General features: G+C 39.2%; 1 protein-coding gene and 1 pseudogene across 4 annotated transcripts in view, besides 1 other annotated feature; both read right to left on the bottom strand.

Annotated features, from left to right (window-relative positions):
* NLN (neurolysin) overlaps positions 1-18,473 on the bottom strand; it is a 107,079-nt gene that overhangs the window by 84,632 nt on the left and 3,974 nt on the right. The window contains exon 1 of one of the 4 annotated variants that reach the window (XM_047417444.1): positions 3,652-3,709. The exons of the other annotated variants lie outside the window; for them this stretch is intronic. The gene's annotated coding sequence lies outside the window, so the exon portion shown is untranslated. Of the gene's footprint in view, positions 1-3,651; positions 3,710-18,473 lie in introns of those variants that run through there. 4 annotated transcript variants of the gene reach the window in all.
* On the bottom strand, positions 10,885-11,558 carry LOC100419549 (PRAME family member 17 pseudogene; annotated as a pseudogene).
* Positions 17,298-17,347: a silencer, noted in NCBI's record as "silent region_16059". NCBI's record gives its function as "represses an Ori minimal core promoter by ATAC-STARR-seq in GM12878 lymphoblastoid cells {active_cell/tissue: GM12878}" and the evidence as "EXISTENCE:reporter gene assay evidence [ECO:0000049][PMID:35858748]".

The following is an 18,473-nucleotide window of genomic DNA, read 5'->3' as shown; positions in this document are numbered from 1 at the left end:
GCTGGGATTACAGGCATGAGCCACTGTGCCCAGCCTCAGCTGAGGTATCCTAAGAAAACACTCTATGCAATAAATGCTGGTTCTTTATTCCCTATTGATAGGATTTATTGACTTGTTACTATCATCTATCATCTGGAATTATGACTATAATTCAGACATCAGCAAAAAAAAAAAAAAAAGGGGAGAGAGAAGCTTATTATAAAAGGACTTCTCAAGAAATAGTTGATTCAGTTATTCCTTCAGCAAATATTTACTGAGGTTACAAAGATGAATAAGACAAAGTTATTACCTTTCAGGAGAGTACAGACTTGTGAGGAAGAAATACGGAAAGAGACATTAGAGTATCAGGTAGCAGGCCGGGTGTGGTGGCTCACGCCTGTAATCCCAGCAATTTGGGAAGCCAAAGAGAAAGGATCACTTGAGCCCAGAAGTTCAAGACCAGCCTAGGCAACGTGGTGAGACCTCATCTATAGTCCCAGCTACTTGGGACGCTCACTTGATCCCAGGAGGTCAGGCTACAGTGAGCCACAATTGTGTCACTGCACTCCAGCCTGGGTAACAGAGTAAGACCCTGTCTCTAAAAATAATAATGAAATAACAGAATATCAGGTAACAAATTCTATATAAATAAGGCAATGGAGAATGAAGAGGACAGTGTGTGTGACTCTGCCTTGGGGAATCTAGGAAAGACTTCAATGAGGATGTAACTTCTAAACTGGCTGAGTCTTTCAAGATAGCTCTATGAGGTAAGGTGGGTACACGGGTTTAATGGGATGTGGAGGGATAAGAGGTAAGGCTAAAATAGGTTAGACCAGATTTGTGTCTTTTTAGTGACTTTCATAAATAAACCAATGAAGGAAACAAAAATGGTTTAATTGGGTTGGAAATTTCTGATGCACAATGTATTAAGATGATGGACAGGTTGGGGCTTAAAGACAGTTCTGAATATTGGTGGCTGCTAAGTCTTGCAAGAAATTCTGGGGCCATTCTTTTCTGTTTTCCATAACTATGAGTTTCTTCTCCATCTCTCATTCTGCACATACAGACATAACCTTAGAACTCAGTTCTCCTCTTTCATACTGTTTGTATATATTTTTTATCATTATTGGCTACAAATAAACAGCTAATGGAATTGATGTAGAGTAACATACTTTTATTTTATTTCAACCAGGATTTGTGGAAAGTTTTCTAAGTATATTCTAGAAAATGTTACACACAGTTACTTCTAACTGAAAGTTCCTTAAATGCAATGCATCAGGATCTATATGTCGGTTAACTATTTGTTCTATATAATCTGTATTAAGAAGTTTAAAAATAAATGATACTTCTTTTGAAGATTGTTTTGGCCTTTTTTATCTGTAAGACAAAAAGCCTATGTTTATAAATTAATCCCCAATGTAGTCCCTGGTGCTTAGTAAATATTTGTTGATGGAATTAAAATCCACGTGAATACTGAGCTTTATTACTACCCAATGCTAGCCATAGCTATACCAGCAAGGCTGACTGATCTGCTTCCCCAAGTCAGGAGAGGAATTGAAGACATTTTTCCTTGTAATTCTACTAGAATGTAAGCTCTTTGGGAATGTGGTCCATGTCTTAGTCATTTTTGTATTTCTTGGCAAATGTGGAAGAATGTGTTCAGCATATAACATATATGTTTTAACTGTTCAATCAATGAGTATAGGAAAGTGATGAAAATCTAAATTAGTCTGTCCTAAAATGACCACTAAGTTCAGTCCCAGACACCAAGTAAATAAAGCAAATAATAAAGCAATCAAAAGAAGATGCTAAAACAACAACAGAGTTGTTGAAGAAAAGTAATTATGTGAGAGACACGTCATAAAGAGACTTTGAGTCATGGATAGATAATCTACAATACATGCCAGTACACTTGAAAAGCAAAGTGCTACAATTCGACTGCTCTTGCCTCCACCTGCTGGTATAGGAAAGTAATTTTTTAGATTGGGCAGAAATTGTTTAGCAACCATAGAAAAATGCTAGGAAAACAGTGGGCTTTCAAAGTTATCTTGCCAAGATAATATATAAACATCCTATAAACAACCATTCACGAAAAATGTACACCATGAACTCAGCTACAAGTATGTTGAGTATAGAGAAGAACTACGCTAAATATGGAGACATTCTGGCCTTTATTTTGAGTAGCCTCTAGCATCTGGTAAAGTCAAAAGCATTATGAGTTTTCCTTCATTGTACAGTCTCTTTTTTGTATTGAAAAAAATTGCATTTGAATTTGAGAACTAGAATGATCATTACAACTTCAATGGTCTAATCTTGGTCTTATGTAGCATAAATATACATTTATTTTGGAAACAGTGCCACATACATCCTTAATGTGTACAACTTCCTCTAGCAGTAAGACTTAAGAACAATGATTATTTTCAACTCTTTTTACAAAATGTTTATGATCCATTTTTTTAAAAAAGGTAACTTTATTTTAGATTTTGTAATGTAATAAGTTTTTGTTTCCAAATTTCATTGTAAATAAATGAAAAGGAACTCTTCAAAATTTTCTTTTTTAAGAGATATGAATAAAAATGTTAAAATGTTAGAAACTACTTAAGGGCATATGAAAAACTGTATGATGCTAGAAATATTTGTAATATTTCTGCCACTGACAAATAGAGCTTTCAGAAAAGGTTCACATTACAAAGTTGAACAAAAATCTCAGGTTCTAAAAAATAAGTAACAAAAGATAATTGGTTAATTTTCTTCTAATTTTGTATATGACACAGCTAACTTAATGATTATAGGTTCTAAATAAATTGATTATACATGAACTTGAAGAGATTTCTTTTCTTAAATCCTATCCCTGGCTTATGTAAAGCCAACTGAGACCACAGAGCATATAAAATCAAGTGCTGCTTCACAAATGAAATAAAGTGTTCCTTGATTCATTACTAATGCGACTATCCACATACATGGAAAACCACAACTCAGATATTCCCCTTTTATTTTTCTCTAGAAACATGAATAAATTGCTTTTGGCACACTTAATTGGTGTTTGGGGCATACTTTTCACAATTGAAGTCCTTAGTAAATTACTCAGGAGAGAGACTCTCCTCTTTCAGTACATTATTTAATACTTAGGCTTGTTAGTGTGTGTCATTTACACATAAATATTTTGTTGTGTGAATGATGATGCCTAGATCCTCTCATCTGAGGCCTGGCTAATAGCTAGTATGCTTCTTGTTAAGACTGGTTCAGTCAAAAATAAGTGTTAATTATTTTTACGTGTGACAATGGTATTATGATTATGTTTTTGAAAAAAAAATTTCACAAAGTGATCTACAGATTGAATGCAATCCCTATCAAAATACCAATGACATTCTTCACAGAAATAGAAAAACAATCTCAAAACTTGTATGAAACCACAAAAGGTTCCAAATAACCAAAGCAATTTTGAGTAAAAAGAATAAAGCTGGAGGTATCATACTACCTCACTTCAAAACTTATTACAAAGGCCAGGCATGGTGGCTCACACCTGTAATCCCAGCACTTTGGAAGGCCAAGGCAGGCTGATCACTTGAGGTCAGGAGTTTGAGACCAACCTGGCCAACTGGTGAAACCCTGTACTAAAAATACAAAATTAGCTGGGTGTGCTGGTGTACACCTGTAATCCCAGTTACTTACTCAGGTGGCTGAAGCAGGAGAATCGCTTGAACCAGGGAGGCAGAGGCTGCAGTGAGCCAAGATCACGCCACTGCACACCAGCCTAGGCAACAGAGCGAGACTCCATCTCAAGAAAAAAAAAAAAAAAAAAGAATTACGTATATATTATATATATATAATATACGTATATATAAAATATATATATATAACAAAGCTATAGTAACCAAACAGCATGGTACTGGCATAAAACAGACACATAGCTGATGGAACAGCCTAGAAAGCCCAGAAATAAATCCACACATTTATGGCCAACCGATTTTGGACGAAGATGCCAGGAACACACGAAAAGACAGTCTCTTCAGGGAACGGTGTTGGGAAAACTGGAGATTCACATGCAGTCGAATGAAATTAGACCCTCATCTCATCCCATATACAAAAATCAACTGAAAATGGATTAAAGACATAAATGTAAGATCCTAAACTGTGAAACTACTAGCAGAAAATGGTTATGGTTTGAATGCTTGTTCCCTTTGAAACTCATTTTGAAACTGAATCCTCAGTTTAACAGTATTAAGAGGTGAAGCTGTTAAGAGATGATTGGGTCATGAGGGCTTTGCCTTCATAAGTGGATTAATCCATTCATGAATTAGTGGGTGAATTAATGGGGAAGAACAGGAGTGGGTTAGTTATCAGAAGAGTAGATCTGTCATAGGAGCCAGTTTTGTTCTCAGTGTGCCTCACTCACCGCGTTATGTCCTCCACCATGTTATGACACACTGAGAAGGCCCTCACCAGATGCAGAAGACCCTCGACCTTGCACTTCCCAGCTTCCAGAACCGTAAATAATAAATTTCTTTTCTTTATAAATTACCTAGCCTCAGGCATTCAATTATGGCAACAGAAAATGAACTAAGACAGAAAATATATGGGAAAAGCTCCATAACACTAGTGTGGGCAATGATTTTTTGGATATGACCCCACAAGCAGAGTCAACAAAAGCAAAAGTGGACAAATGGGATTACATCAAACTAATAAGCACAGCAAAGGAAACAATAAACAGAATGAAGAGACAACCTATAGAATGGGAGGAAATATTTGCAAAATATACATCTCATAAGGGATTAATATCCAAAATATACAAGTAACTCAATAAATTCAATAGCAAGAAAACAACCCCAATAAAAAATGGGCAAAGGACTCAAACAGACATTTCTCAAAAGCAACATATAAATGGCAAACAGGTATATGAAAAAAATGCTCAACATCAACATTAGGGAAATGCAAATTAAAACCACAATGAAACATCATCTCACACCTGTTAAAATAGCTATTATGGAAAAGACCAAAGATAGCAAGTCTTTGGTGGAGAAAAGGGAACCCGCACACACTGTTAGTAGGAATATGAATTCATACAGCCATTATGGAAAACAGTATGGAGGTTTCTCAAAATATTAAACATAGAACTACTATACAATCCAACAATCCCACTACTGGGAATATATCTTTAAAAAATGAAATCAATATGGAAGAGATATCCACACTCTCATGTTTGCTATATATTATTCACAATAGACAAGACATAGAATCAACTTGTGTCCATCAGCTGACAAATGGATATAGAAAATGTGGTATACATACACAATGAAATATTATTCAGCCATAAAAAAGGAAATTCTGTCATTTGTGACAACATGGATGAACCTGGTGGAAAGTGTTAACTGAAATAAGCCAGCAACAGAAAGACACATACTGCATGATCTCACTCATATGTGGAATGTAAAAAAGTTGATCTCATAGAAGTACTATAGAAAGTAGAATTGGCCAGGCATGGTGGCTCATGTCTGTAATCCCAGCACTTTGGGAGGCATAGGTGGTCAGATCATCTGAGGTCAGAAGTTCGAAACCAGCCTGGCGAACATGGTGAAACCCCATCTCTACTAAAAATACAAAATTTAGCCAGGCTAATTTATATATATTTTTTATATATATATTATATATTTATATATATAAATATATATTATAAAATATATATAAATATATAATATATATATTTATATATACATATATATAAACATATATAAAAAATATATATACACACATATATATCATAGGTGGCACGCACCTGTGATCCCAGCTACTCAGGAGGCTGGGGCAGGAGAATCACTTGAACTTGGGAGGCAGAGGTTGCAGTGAGCTGAGATCACATCACTGCACTCCTGCCTGGGCAACAGAGCAAGTCTCTGTCTTAAAAAAGAAAAAATGTAGAAAGGTAGTTACTAGCAGCTGAGGTGACTGCTGGTGAAAGGAGGGAGTTGGAGAGATGCTGGTCAAAGGATACAAAATTTCACTTAGATAGGAAGAATAAGTTCAAAAGATCTATTGTACTACATGATGATTATAGTTAACAATATATTGTATTCTTTTTTCTTTGTTTTATTTTATTTTTTTGGAAACAGGATCTTGCTCTGTCGCCCAGGCTAGAGTGCAGTGGCGCAATCACGGCTCACTGCAACCTTTGCCTCCTGGGCTCAAGCTATCCTCTCACCTCAGCCTCCTGAGACCACTGAAGTGTGCCACTACATCTGGCTTTTTACATTTTTTGTAGAAACGAGGTCTCACTATATTACTCAGGCTAGTCTTGAACTCCTGGGCTCCTGCAATCCTCCTGCCTCATCCTCCTAGGAGTGCTGGGATTATGGCATGAGGCACCACACCTGGCCTTTCCCCCTCCTTTTTATCCTGGAAGTAATATCTTTTCCCTGATCTTCCATATCAATCTCTCCACTCTGTGGTACTTATCACCTTCTGCCTTGTATTCTAATTATTTATTAGTATGTGCCTTATCACTCTTACTAGGTTGTATTGCCTTGGCTTTTTTTTTTTTTTCTTTTGTGAGACAAGGTCTAGCTCTGTCACCCAGGCTGGAGTGCCATGGTGCAATCTTGGCTCACTGCAACCTCCGCCTCCCGAGGTGCAAGCGATCCTCCTACCTCAGCTTCCCAAGTAGCTGGGACTACAGGCACATGCTACCACGCCCTAATTTTTGTAATTTTTGTAGAGATACGGCTTTGCCATGTTGCCCGAGCTGGTCTTGGGCTCCTGAGCTAAAGTGGTCCACCCACCCCAGCCTCCCAAAGTGCCGGGATTACAAGAGTGAACCACTGTGCCCAGTCAACTCTAATTTTTTGATAATACAACTAGGTCTACTTTTTTTCTGTAAATAACTTTGGTATAAAATGACTAAATCTAAATTGGCTTACCTAACATGTAGACATAGGCAACCGGGTTTTTGTATTAAGAAATCTGCACCCAGCTACTTTATATAGGGCTTGAAATATCTACTTTCTACTGAAAGTTATACCTGTAATTGTCAGTATCAAAATGCCAGATCTAGACCTATACTCCCTAGATATCAATAGTGAACACTGAATTTTCAGTTATTATTAGTAATGACATATTTTCATTCATCCATTCAATGAATATATTTATTTTGCATCCCTTATGTAATGACCATGTTAAGTAGTGGAGGTACAGAAATGAAAAACAAAAAAATAGGCTGCTGATTTCAGAAAACTTGTCAACTAGTGGTGAAGAAAAACATTATTAATAATAATGTTTGTACTATGGAAGTATTAATACAGGATTCAGGGGGAAAGAATTTAGTAGGGGTCTGGTAACTTCACCCTCAGAAAGTACAAAGCTAAGATGATGTTACCATTTAGAGATTTATTAGTTTAGAGATTTATTAGTTTACTTTTTGACCCCCTTTAAGTGAGGGGATAAACCCATGAGGGCAGGAGCAGTTTCTGTCTTATCCACAGCTGTATTCTTAGAGTTTAGCTCAGTGGCTTGTACAGATTAAACACAGATTAAATATACATATTTTTTTGGAGACAGTCTCCCTCTGTCGCATAGGCTGGACAGAGTCTCCCTTTGTCGCATAGGCTGGAGTGCAGCAGCATGATCATGGCTCGCTGCAGCTTCGACCTCCCAGGATCAAGCAATCCTCCCACCTTAGCCTTCCGAGTAGCTGGGACCATAGATGAATGCCACTATGCCCAGCTAATTTTTTTTTTAATGTTTTGTAGATACAGGGTGTTCCTATATAGCCCAGGCAGGTGTCAAACTTCCGGGCTTAAGTAATGCTCTTGCCTCAGCCTCCCAAAGTGTTGAGATTACAGGCGTGAGCCACCATGACTAGTCATGTTTTTTGAATACTGGAAAACAAGTGAACAATATCTAAAATGTATAAATACTGTAGAGTGTAAATTCAATATGAAAAAGATAACTCAGGAAAATGGGCAAAAGACATAAACAGGCACAAAATACAAATGGCAAAGAAACACGAAAACATGTTCAAACTCATTAGTAACACAGCAAATATATATAAAAGCCAAGTAATACCATTACAACCATTGGATTGGCAAAAGGCTTGACAACAACAAGAGCTGCTAAGGACAGTGGATCAATGGCTACTCATGAATACTATATGGAGAGAAGGAAGTAAATTAGTATAACCACTTTGGAAAAAGAATTGGGCATTATTTGGTAAAGTTGAGAATGTACATCCTACAACCTAGTAATTGTTCTCTTAAATTCATACTCTTACACATATGTATCAGGAGACATTATAAGAATATTCATAGCAATATTGCTTGTAATATCAAGAAAATGGAAGCCCAAATATTCATTGACAAAATAAAAAGTAAATTTTTGGAATAGTCACACAATGAAATATCTTACAACAGTAAAAATGAACCATATCCATGTGAAACTAGTTTCATTATGCAAAACTAAATCATATGTTGTTTAGGGAAATATACATTTGTTGTAATGTTTATAAAGAAAAGCAAGAGGACAGCAATTACAAAATTCAAGACTGTGGTTATCTCTGGTATGAGGAAAGGGACATGGTTGAAGGGGGCACTCAAGGAACTTCAACGGTACTAGAAATATCATTTTACATATAGATATATTTTTCATACTAGAAATATCATTTTATATATTGACACATTTTTCATCCTTTTAGTCACATGTATATACGTATATGCATTACATTTTTTGTGTATAATATTTCATAACTCTTAAGATAAATGAATAAGTATTAGGCTCTGGAAATGGGAGAGAAAGAAAAGAATGTTCCAAATAAGAGATCAGCTTATGTTAATTTAAGGCCAGGAGATAAGGACATAAACTCTCTGGCTGAAGCATTGAGTTCACTGAGTGAGAGGAGAAGCTGGGAGAGCTACACAGGGGTCAGACTGTATAGGGATTTCTAAACCACAAGAGAGTTTTGATTGTTTAATGACAAGTAAAGAAAAATTGCAAACTGAAGTATGACATGTCACATTTGTAGTTCCTAAAGATCTCTATTTTCATAAGGAAAATATATTAGTGGTAAGCAAAAATTGATGCTGGGACTCATGATGAGGAAGATTTGGATTATGATGGTGATACTGGGAACAAAGAAAGGAGAAAGAATGTGAAGACTATCCAGGACTTGGTGTTGGTGGAAAAGGTAAAGGAAATAGAGAAAAAAGCAAGGAATGGCTCCTAGGCTTTGGACTTGCGTAAATGGTGACACTGAGGCAAAGAACAATGGCAAAAAAGCAAGCCAGGGGAATTCCGTCAATTTAGGAAAAGGTGATATTGAGATTCAACAACATAATAGGTGTTCAATAAGTATTTATTGTATTAGTCCATTCTCATGCTGCTATGAAGAAATGCCCAAGACTGGGTAACTTATAAATGAAACAGGTTTAATTGATTCACAGTTCAGCATGGCTGGGGCGACCTCATGAAACTTAGAATCATGGCAGAAGGGGAAGCAAACACCTCCTTATTCATGTGGTGGCAGGAAGGAGAAGTGCTGAGCAAAGAGGAAAAAGCCCCTTATAAAACCATCAGATCTTGTGAGAACTCAGTATCATGAGAACAGCATGGGGGTAACTGCCTCATGATTCAATTTGGGTGGGGACACAGCCAAACCATATCACTTATAAGATAAAAAAGTGGCTGACTGTGAGACCTCAGGAGCTGTCCAATTGGTAGTTGGAATCTAATATCATTCATCTATTTCTTTTTTAAATAAATAATTTGTGGTTCCCTATTTTGTATCTTGGCAGAGGAGAAAGCTACGAAACCTTAAAAAGAATTCCTATGAGAATAAAAATAATGTATAGATGTATAAATCTCAGTGTTAGAATAGTTAGATCTATGTAGCCCTGACAGTATGGACCTTATACATTGTAGCAAGCAGGCTTCATCAACCTGTGATTATTTCAGTCACTACAACTCCACCTGAGATGTGAGGCAGAAATAGAATTTTCCTTTCGGTGTTGACCACAAGTGGGATTAAATATTAAAGATACCAGCAAAATATGGCTGGGAAATATGAGGACTTCCTCTTGAATGCCAAACAGGAAGCATAGACAATCTCAGAGTGGGCAGAATGGGCAGAGTCTTTCTTTTTTTTTTTTTCCATTCAGGTTCCATTTATTTTTGACATTTTTAAATAACCATCCGTGCGAGGGTAACTCCTGCATCATTCTAGAACTTCAGGTTCCATTTCTGAGTCTAGGAAACAGGTCCCTGAAGGCTTTATTGATGCCAAGTCAGCATTTTCACCCAGTTCTGCCCCCAGCTGAGTCACCTTTGTTTTTCCACTCACAGTCAGCACGTGCCTGAAACACATGACCGTGTGCTTCCTTTAAGATGCACCTGACCGGGCCAGGCTGCTCATGCCTGTAAACCCAGCACTGTGGAAGGCCAAGGTAGTCAGATCACTTGAGGTCAGGAGTTTGAGGCCAGCCTCCTCCAACATCGTGAAACCCTGTCTCTACTAAAAATACAAAAATTACACTTTGGGAGGCCGAGGCGGGTGGATCACGAGGTCAGGAGATTGAGACCATCCTGGCTAACTTGGTGAAACCCTGACTCTACTAAAAATACCAAAAATTAGCTGGGTGTGGTGGTGGACACCTGTAGTCCCAGCTACTCTGGAGGCTGAGGCAGGAGAATGGCATGAACCCTGGAGGCAGAGGTTGCAGTGAGCCGAAGTCGTGCCAGTGCACTCCAGCCTGGGTGACAGAGCGAGACTCCGTCTCAAAAAAAAAAAAGAAAAAAAAATACAAAATTAGTTGGGTGTGGTGGTGCATGCCAGTAACACCAGCTACTAGGGAGGCTGAGGCAGGAGAATCACTTGAACCTGGGAGGTGGAAGTTGCAGTGAGCTGAGATTGTGCCACTGCACTTCAGCCTGAGGGACAGAGCGAGACTCCATCAAAAAAAAAAAAGCACCTGTGTCCTAGATTTTAGTGCCCAAGGGTCCAGAAGAAAGCGTATCCATCCCACTAATCAGGCCTTCCCTAAGAGCAAAGATGGAGGTCCACTTTCTCAGATGGCCATGAGCCACAGGAAGGGCAGGGGACGGGACCAAAAAAGATCCTCTTGGGCTGCCTGACTTCCCTGACTGTACACATCAGCTCAGCCCGAATTGGGGCAAGGATCTCCCAATTGGCATGACCCCTGTTGTCAAGACTCTCCAGATGGGAAGGATACAATTCCAGGCCTAACTTGCTCAGCCCGCCTGTGTGACACAGCAGGTCTTTCAGAGCATTCATGGAGGTCTCGTTTCCATGAAAGTAGAAGGTGGTGAGCTGGGAGCAGTGGCTCAGGGCAGGCAGGAGGAGCCTGAGTTGGGAGTCCTGGATCTGACAGTCCTTTAACGTGAGGGTCTCGAGAGTAGCAGCAACTTTCTCTAGCAGAGCTCCAAGGGGCTCAAGATTGGTGGTCCACATTAGGATATGAATCAGATGCAGCTCCTTTAGCTGACTGAGGCTTGGTTACTAAGACAGACACTCCATGTCCCGATCAGCTAGGTAAGCATGACAGAATATAAAGGCCCCCAAGAGGTTCTTGAGGCACCTGGGGAGAGCAAGAAATTAGTTATGGGCAATGGTGCCAGTTAGAGGAGGGGGGTGGGAAATCATCTCAATGGTAAACTTGAAGTGGGCATTGAGTAATTCTGCACCTTACTACCACACAGGTGTTATAGTAACTGCAATGGGGAAGCCTGTTTCACCCAAACACAAGTTTGTTCCCATCATCAGATGATGGTCTGTGTGCAAGGTGCTGCCTGATGAAGACTCAGATCATTCAGGGGCAGCTCCATTTTAGGCTCAGTCCTTTCAGCCTTGCTTGTGTGATTGGTTCAAGGCCACAAAATCTTTAAAGCCTCTTTACTGCATCTTTCAGCAGACAACCTCATCTCTGGGCCAGAGGAGCCCAGTGGGAGATGTGCACAAAGAACTCAACTGAGCAAGGTCTAGGGACATCAGCTAGGGCCACCTGTCTGCAAAGGTTCCCTGACGTGCCCGCGTCTGCAAACCACCTATCACTTTATACCACTCTCCTGCCTACTCCCTCACCTCTGTCCAAGAAGCACGCTTTTCTCATGTCAACTACTTTTCCTGGGGTTCAAAAGAACCTTTTACAGACAGAGAATTAGAGACAGGATCATTGGTGTTTACTAAGCTGTGAGGACGGAGCTTCTACTGTGAAACGCACAGGTTTGATGCACTTTCCCTTCTTTCATACTCTCCTCTATATGAAGTGTAAGTTTCATCATATTAACTTCAAACACACTTCCTAAAAAGGAATTCACAAATGCACCCTCCCTAGATCTGAACCCCTGACTAACTAGCTCCCTGCATGTCTCTCTCTGTAGCATCTGGCCCGGGCCATCCCTCTGGGCAGAGTCTTTCTAATGTAAGCTATGGTGAACGGGAAATCCAGATTTCATAAGCTGGACTTCCTTTTATACTTCTTGCAGTTTTGCAGTTTCGGTGTTGATTTCCTTTTTGTTTCACTCAATAATTTGAAGAAGTCTTTTTAAAAAAGTCAGCCCTCATGATAGATAAAGGGTTTAAGTGTGAAAAATGAAACATAAAAGTACTAGAAGAAAATGTAGATGCTGGGTGTGGTGGCTCATGCCTGTAATCGTAGCACTTTGGGAGGCTGAGGTGGAAGGATTGCTTGAGCCCAGGAGTTTGAGATCAGCCTGGGCAACATGGTGAAACCTTGTCTCTACAAATAATACAAAAATTAGCCAGGTGTGGTGGCTCACACCTGTAGTCCCAACTACTTGGAAGGCTGACGTGGGAGGACTGCTTGAGACTGGGAGGCAGAGGTTACAGAGAGATGAGATTGTTCCACTATACTCCAGCCTGGGTGACAGAGCTAGACTCTGTCTGAAAAAAAAAAAAAAAAAAAAAAAAAAGAAAATGTAGGTGATTTTTAAAATACATAATCTTGGGGTGGAGAAGGACTTTCTAGGAATGAGACCAAAGGCAGAAATCATAAAGGAAAAGACTGATATTTCTGACTGTATAAAAATTTAAACTTTTGTAGGGATAAAGCAAAAAAGCAAAAAGCAACAATAATCTACCCCAAAAGTTCAAAGATCAAAAACAACTGAAACATCTATGAGGGGCTCTTACAAAGTAATAATCCTAATTTTAAAAATCCCAAAATAAAACTAGGCAATTCACACAAGTAAAAACAGTAACTAATATTTCTCGAGATTTTATTATGTGCCGATGTGGTAGACTGATAACTAACATGGCCTCAATTTTCTACCTGCTATGAGTCTATGTCTCTTAACAATGTGAGTTTGCTGTTCTACCCATCAAGAGATAGAGTCTGTTTCCCCACTTCTTGAATCTGGGCTAGCCTTGTGACTTGCTTTGACCAGTAGAATGTGGCAGAGCTAATGAGGTTCCAGTTCCAACTGCCTTCCACTCTCTCATGGAACCCTGCCACTGACATGAGAACAAGCCAGAGGTGGCTTCTTGGAGGACGAGACGTCACAGGAAAGAGGGCCAAATAGCCCCAGCTGTGGCCATCCTACATCACCAAACATGTGAGAGAGGATAGCAGAGATCAGCAGAGCTGCCTACACAACCCATGGCTGACTGAAGGAGCATGAATGAGTTAAGATCAGAAAAACTGCCCAGCCAAAATCTAGATTTGTCAGCAAAAATAAACATTGATCATTGTACTCCACTGAAATTCAGTTTGTTATACAGCATTTTTGTGGTAATAGGAATGGATATAACCAGGCAATGTTCAAAGTGTTCTATATTTGTTTCAATCTTAAAAGGTGAGTACAGGCCAGGCACGGTGGCTCACGCCTGTAATCCCAGCACTTTGGGAGGCAGAGGCAGGTGGGTCACTTGAGGTCAAGAGTTCCAGCCTGGCCAACATGGTGAACCCCTGTTTCTACAAAAAATACAAAAATTAGCTGGGCATGATGGCGGGTGCCTGTAATCCCAGCTACTCAGGAGGCTGAGGTGGGAGAATTGCTTGAACCCAGGAGGAGGAGGTTGCAGTGAGCTGAGATTGCGCCATTGCACTCTAGCCCGAGCAATAGAGTGAGACTCCATCTAAAAACAAACGAATAAAACAAAAAAAAAAAAAGAAGAAAATAGAAAAAAAAGGATGAGTCCAATTTTTCCCTGTCTCATCTCCTACTTACTTGCCTGACATTTATTCCATGCTAGTCACAATGGTCTCTTTACTTTCTCAAAAACACCAGGCATAGCCCTGCTTTCAGAGCCTTGGTGTGTGCCGTTTCTCCTGCTTAGAATGACCTGCCTCAGGTATTCACATAGCACAACTGCTCATTTCTCTTAGATCATTACTCAAGTATTAATATCACTTTCTTGGTAGCCTTTCCTGTTGACTCTACAATTTCCTTCCTATCGGTACTGAGCATTCCCCTTTCCCATTTTACTTTTGCTCTGCAGCACATTTTCCCATCTAACTTACTTTATATTTTCCTTAGTTGTCTCTCCCACTGGAATGTAAGTTCCATTAATGCAAAGATTTTTATCTGCTTTGTTCATTGCTATATCCCCAGACCAAGAATACTATTTCGCATATAATAGACAATAAATATTTGGTGAATGAAGAAATCAGCCAATCAATTATCAATTTACTGAGGAGGAAACAGATACGGAGAACTTAAGTATTCTTGCCTAAGATCACAATGCTAGTCAGTGGCAAAACCAGCATTCAAACTCAGGCGAGCTGTTTCTAGATTTATATAGTCGACTCTATGATGCTACATGCACTTTGCAATGCGGCAGCTTGGCATTTACATATGTATTCAATACACATCAGTTTCCTTGGTTCTTCATATCTTTAATTCAGGGGATTCTTCCCAAGTAAGTCCTGTGCTTTGTCTTAACCAAAGAGGTGATAATGTTTAACTCTGAGAAAGAACCAGGTTGCTTCTGACCAAAACCAGGGTTAAAGGACAAACAAAAAAGAAAGAAATCAATCCTCGGCGGAGCACGGTGGTTCACGCCTGTAATCCCAGCACTTTGGGAGGCCGACGCGGGTGAATCATGAGATCAGGAGTTCGAGACCAGCCTAGCCAACATGGTAAAACCCCGTCTCTGCTAAAAATACAAAATATTAGCTGGGCGTGGTGGCAGGTGCCTGTAATCCCAGCTACTCCGGAGGCTGAGGCAGGAGAATCACTTGAACCCAGGAGGCGGAGGTTGCAGTGATCCAAGATCGTGCCACTGCACTCCAGCCCGGGCAACAGTGCAAGACTCCATCCTAAAAAAAAAAAAAAAAAAAAAAAGAAAAGAAAACCTATTTTATAACCAAATCCATTTGTACAAATAATGTCAACCTAGCTCTTGATACTTTAACTTAAAAAACCCTTTCTTTACTAGATTTTTTTCCCCAATACTGTTCTCTTAACATTTTGGAGATTATGCCTACTGGTTTTAGAGGAATAATCTCAATTTTATTTAATTACACTTAGACCTGTAAATATTGTTAAGTTTATTAATAACTGTAATTTAGGCTGGGCCCAGTAGCTCATGCCTGTAATCCCAGCACTCTGGAAGGTTGAGGCGGGCAGATCACTCGAGCCCAGGAATTAGAGACCAGCTTGGGCAACATGGCGAAGCCCTGTCTCTACAAGAAATACAAAGATTAGCCGGGTGTGGTGGCAAACACCTGTAGTCCCAGCTACTCGGGAGGCTGAAGTGGGAGGATCGTTTGAGCCCGGGAGGTCGAGGCTGCAGTGAGCCATGATCATGCCACTGCACTCTAGCCTGGGCAACCAAGTGAGACTCTGTCTCAAACAAACAAACAAAAACACCAAGAAAACTGTAATTGAATTTGTCTGACTTTCTAAGATTTTCCATATAAATAAATTTTCACATCAGACAACAAATAACTTTTTGGTTTCCAGACCACAACTCCTGAATTTTTGTTTAGGAATTATACTCACTGAATAAACCTTCCAAAAATGTATGAAAATGCAAATTATAATAAGAGAAATTTCCACTTATCAAACTGGTAAGGATAAAAAAAATTAAAATGCTCAATGTTGGTAACAGTATAGGAAACCAGCATTTACTTACTCACCTGGTAAGGTTATAATTTGGGAGAAAGTTTTTAGAATAGAATAAGATGATAAGTACCAAAGACCTGAAAGGTATGCATGCCCTTTGATGTACAAATTCCATTTGTAAGAATTTATACTAAGAAAATAACTAAAGATTTGGAAAAGGACAATAGGAATGTTTATCCAAGCACTATTACTCATTGCAGGAAGTTGGGAATAGTTGACATTTCTAAAGGCGTATATTAATCAAATTGCATACATCCCCAAAAGGAATATATTATAGCTATTTATATTTTAGGGGATGTTTGTATAATATTAAAAATTATAAAAGAATAACAATATCATATTTATAAAAAGAAAGTCTGTTCATAGAGGAAATTTTGAAAGCTGTTAAGAATTGGCTGTTCCAGGTGGCTGGATTATATATATATTTAATATTTTCTTTTGCTTGTCATTACTTGCTAAGTTTTCAATAATGAACACGCATTGCTGTCATCATTTTAAAAAACCAAGCTGTGTTTTTTAGGCCAGGTGCAGTGGCTCACGCCTATAATCCCAGCACTTTAGGAAGCTGAGGTGGGCAGATCACTTGAGGTCAGGAGTTCAAGACCAGCCAGGCCCACATAGTGAAACCCCAGCTCTACTAAAAATACAAAAAATCAGCCAGGCGTGGTTGTGGGGACCTGTAATCCCAGCCACTCAGGAGCCTGAGGCAGGATAATTGCTTGAACCCAGAAGGCAGAGGTTGCAGTGAGCCGAGATCATGCCACTGTATTCCAGCCTGGGCAACAGAGCGAGACTGTCTCAAAAAAACAAAAACCAAAAAACAAACCAAGCTGTCTTTTCTAATTGCAAGAGGAAGCTAGGCTATTACAGCTATTGTTTCGGCTAAATATTGTTGAGTCAACCTTCTCGTTTGTTTCTTTGACCATGTCACTCATCCCTCTTATTCTATAATATACATTAGGCTTTGCTTGGGTCACATGCTGTACAATCTGAGGTAGGAGGAGGAATTCTCCTGGTTTGCTATGGCAATATAGAGGTTTTTTGCTTTTTGTTTTTTTTTTAAGGCCTTAGCTATTATTTAGTCTAGTCCTTTTCATTTTACAATATAAGGAACCTGGGCCAGGCATGATAGTACACTCCTGTAATCCCAGCACTTTCAGAGGTTGAGATGGGAGGATCATTTGTGGCCAGGAATTCTAGACTAGCCTCGGCAACATAGCAAGATCCTATCTCTACAAACAATTTTTTCAAATTAGCTGGGCATGGTGGTGAGCGCCTGTAGTCCCAGCTACTCAGAAGGCTGAGGCAGGGAGGATTGTTTGAAACCAGAGTTTGAGACCGCAGTGAGCCATGATCATGCCCCACTGCACTTCAGCCTGGATGACAGAGTGAGACCTTGTCTCTAAAATACATACATACATAGGTACATAACTTGAAAGAGGTCCAAGGGAGTGAGTGATTTTTTTAAGGTCACAAAGTGAATTGAACAGCAACTATAATCCAAACTCCAGATTCTCAGTCCACTTATTCCCAAGAAGTTGGCTGAACACCCCAATCAATGATCCTAGCTGGAAGCTGGCCTTGGGAAGGGGATATAGCAGCTCTGCCAACAAGAAAACCCAATGGAAACTGTAAGTCAGTTAGGCAAAAGCCTAGTTACTCCATAACACTAAAATGAACTCCCAAGTGTCAGAGGAAACAGGAAAAACAGGAGAACACAGGGGGTCCTCCATGTTGTCTAATATGAACTCTTTTGGAAGATACTGATTTTGAAACAGAGCAGATTCTGTGATTAAGTCAAGGAAGCCCTGGGTTAAGGACTACCATATATGATGATTAACTGTAAGATATGCCCTTATGTAACAAATTAGTTAATATATTTATGGTAGCTTCTAACAAGGTAATAATTTTTTGGCTATTAGTATATTTATTTTCTTCCATGCATAAACAAAGAATCTAATACCACATATCGGCAGCTCTCAAAATGTAGTCCACAAACCTTAAAGGTAGAGGTATGGGGAGGGGTTCCTGAGACACTTTCAAGGAATCTGTGAGGTTAAAAATCTTTCATAACAATACTAAGACATTATTTATCCTTTTTACTTTATGAACATTTGCACTGATGGCGAAAAGGAATGGTGGATAATACTGTTGGTACTTCAGCACAAATTGAGGCAATGACACCAAACTATACTAGTAGCTATATTTTTCATTGCCATGCACTCAGGCTAAAAATAATGTCAATTTCATTTTAGAATATCCTTAATGAAATGGTAAAAAGTATGAATTTTTATTAAATCTCTACCTTTGAGTTATATGTGACCAAGTACACACAAAGCATTTCTGCTGTGTACCTGAGTATAAGGGTTGTCCTGAGGATTTGGTTGCCCAAATCAAAAGCACTTTTG

The sequence above is a fragment of the Homo sapiens genome, chromosome 5 (genome assembly GCF_000001405.40).
Source record: "Homo sapiens chromosome 5, GRCh38.p14 Primary Assembly".
In the NCBI taxonomy this organism is placed as follows: Eukaryota; Metazoa; Chordata; class Mammalia; order Primates; family Hominidae; genus Homo; species Homo sapiens.
The sequence above is the reverse complement of the archived record's forward strand: the minus strand, read 5'-3'. Positions and strand labels throughout refer to the sequence as shown.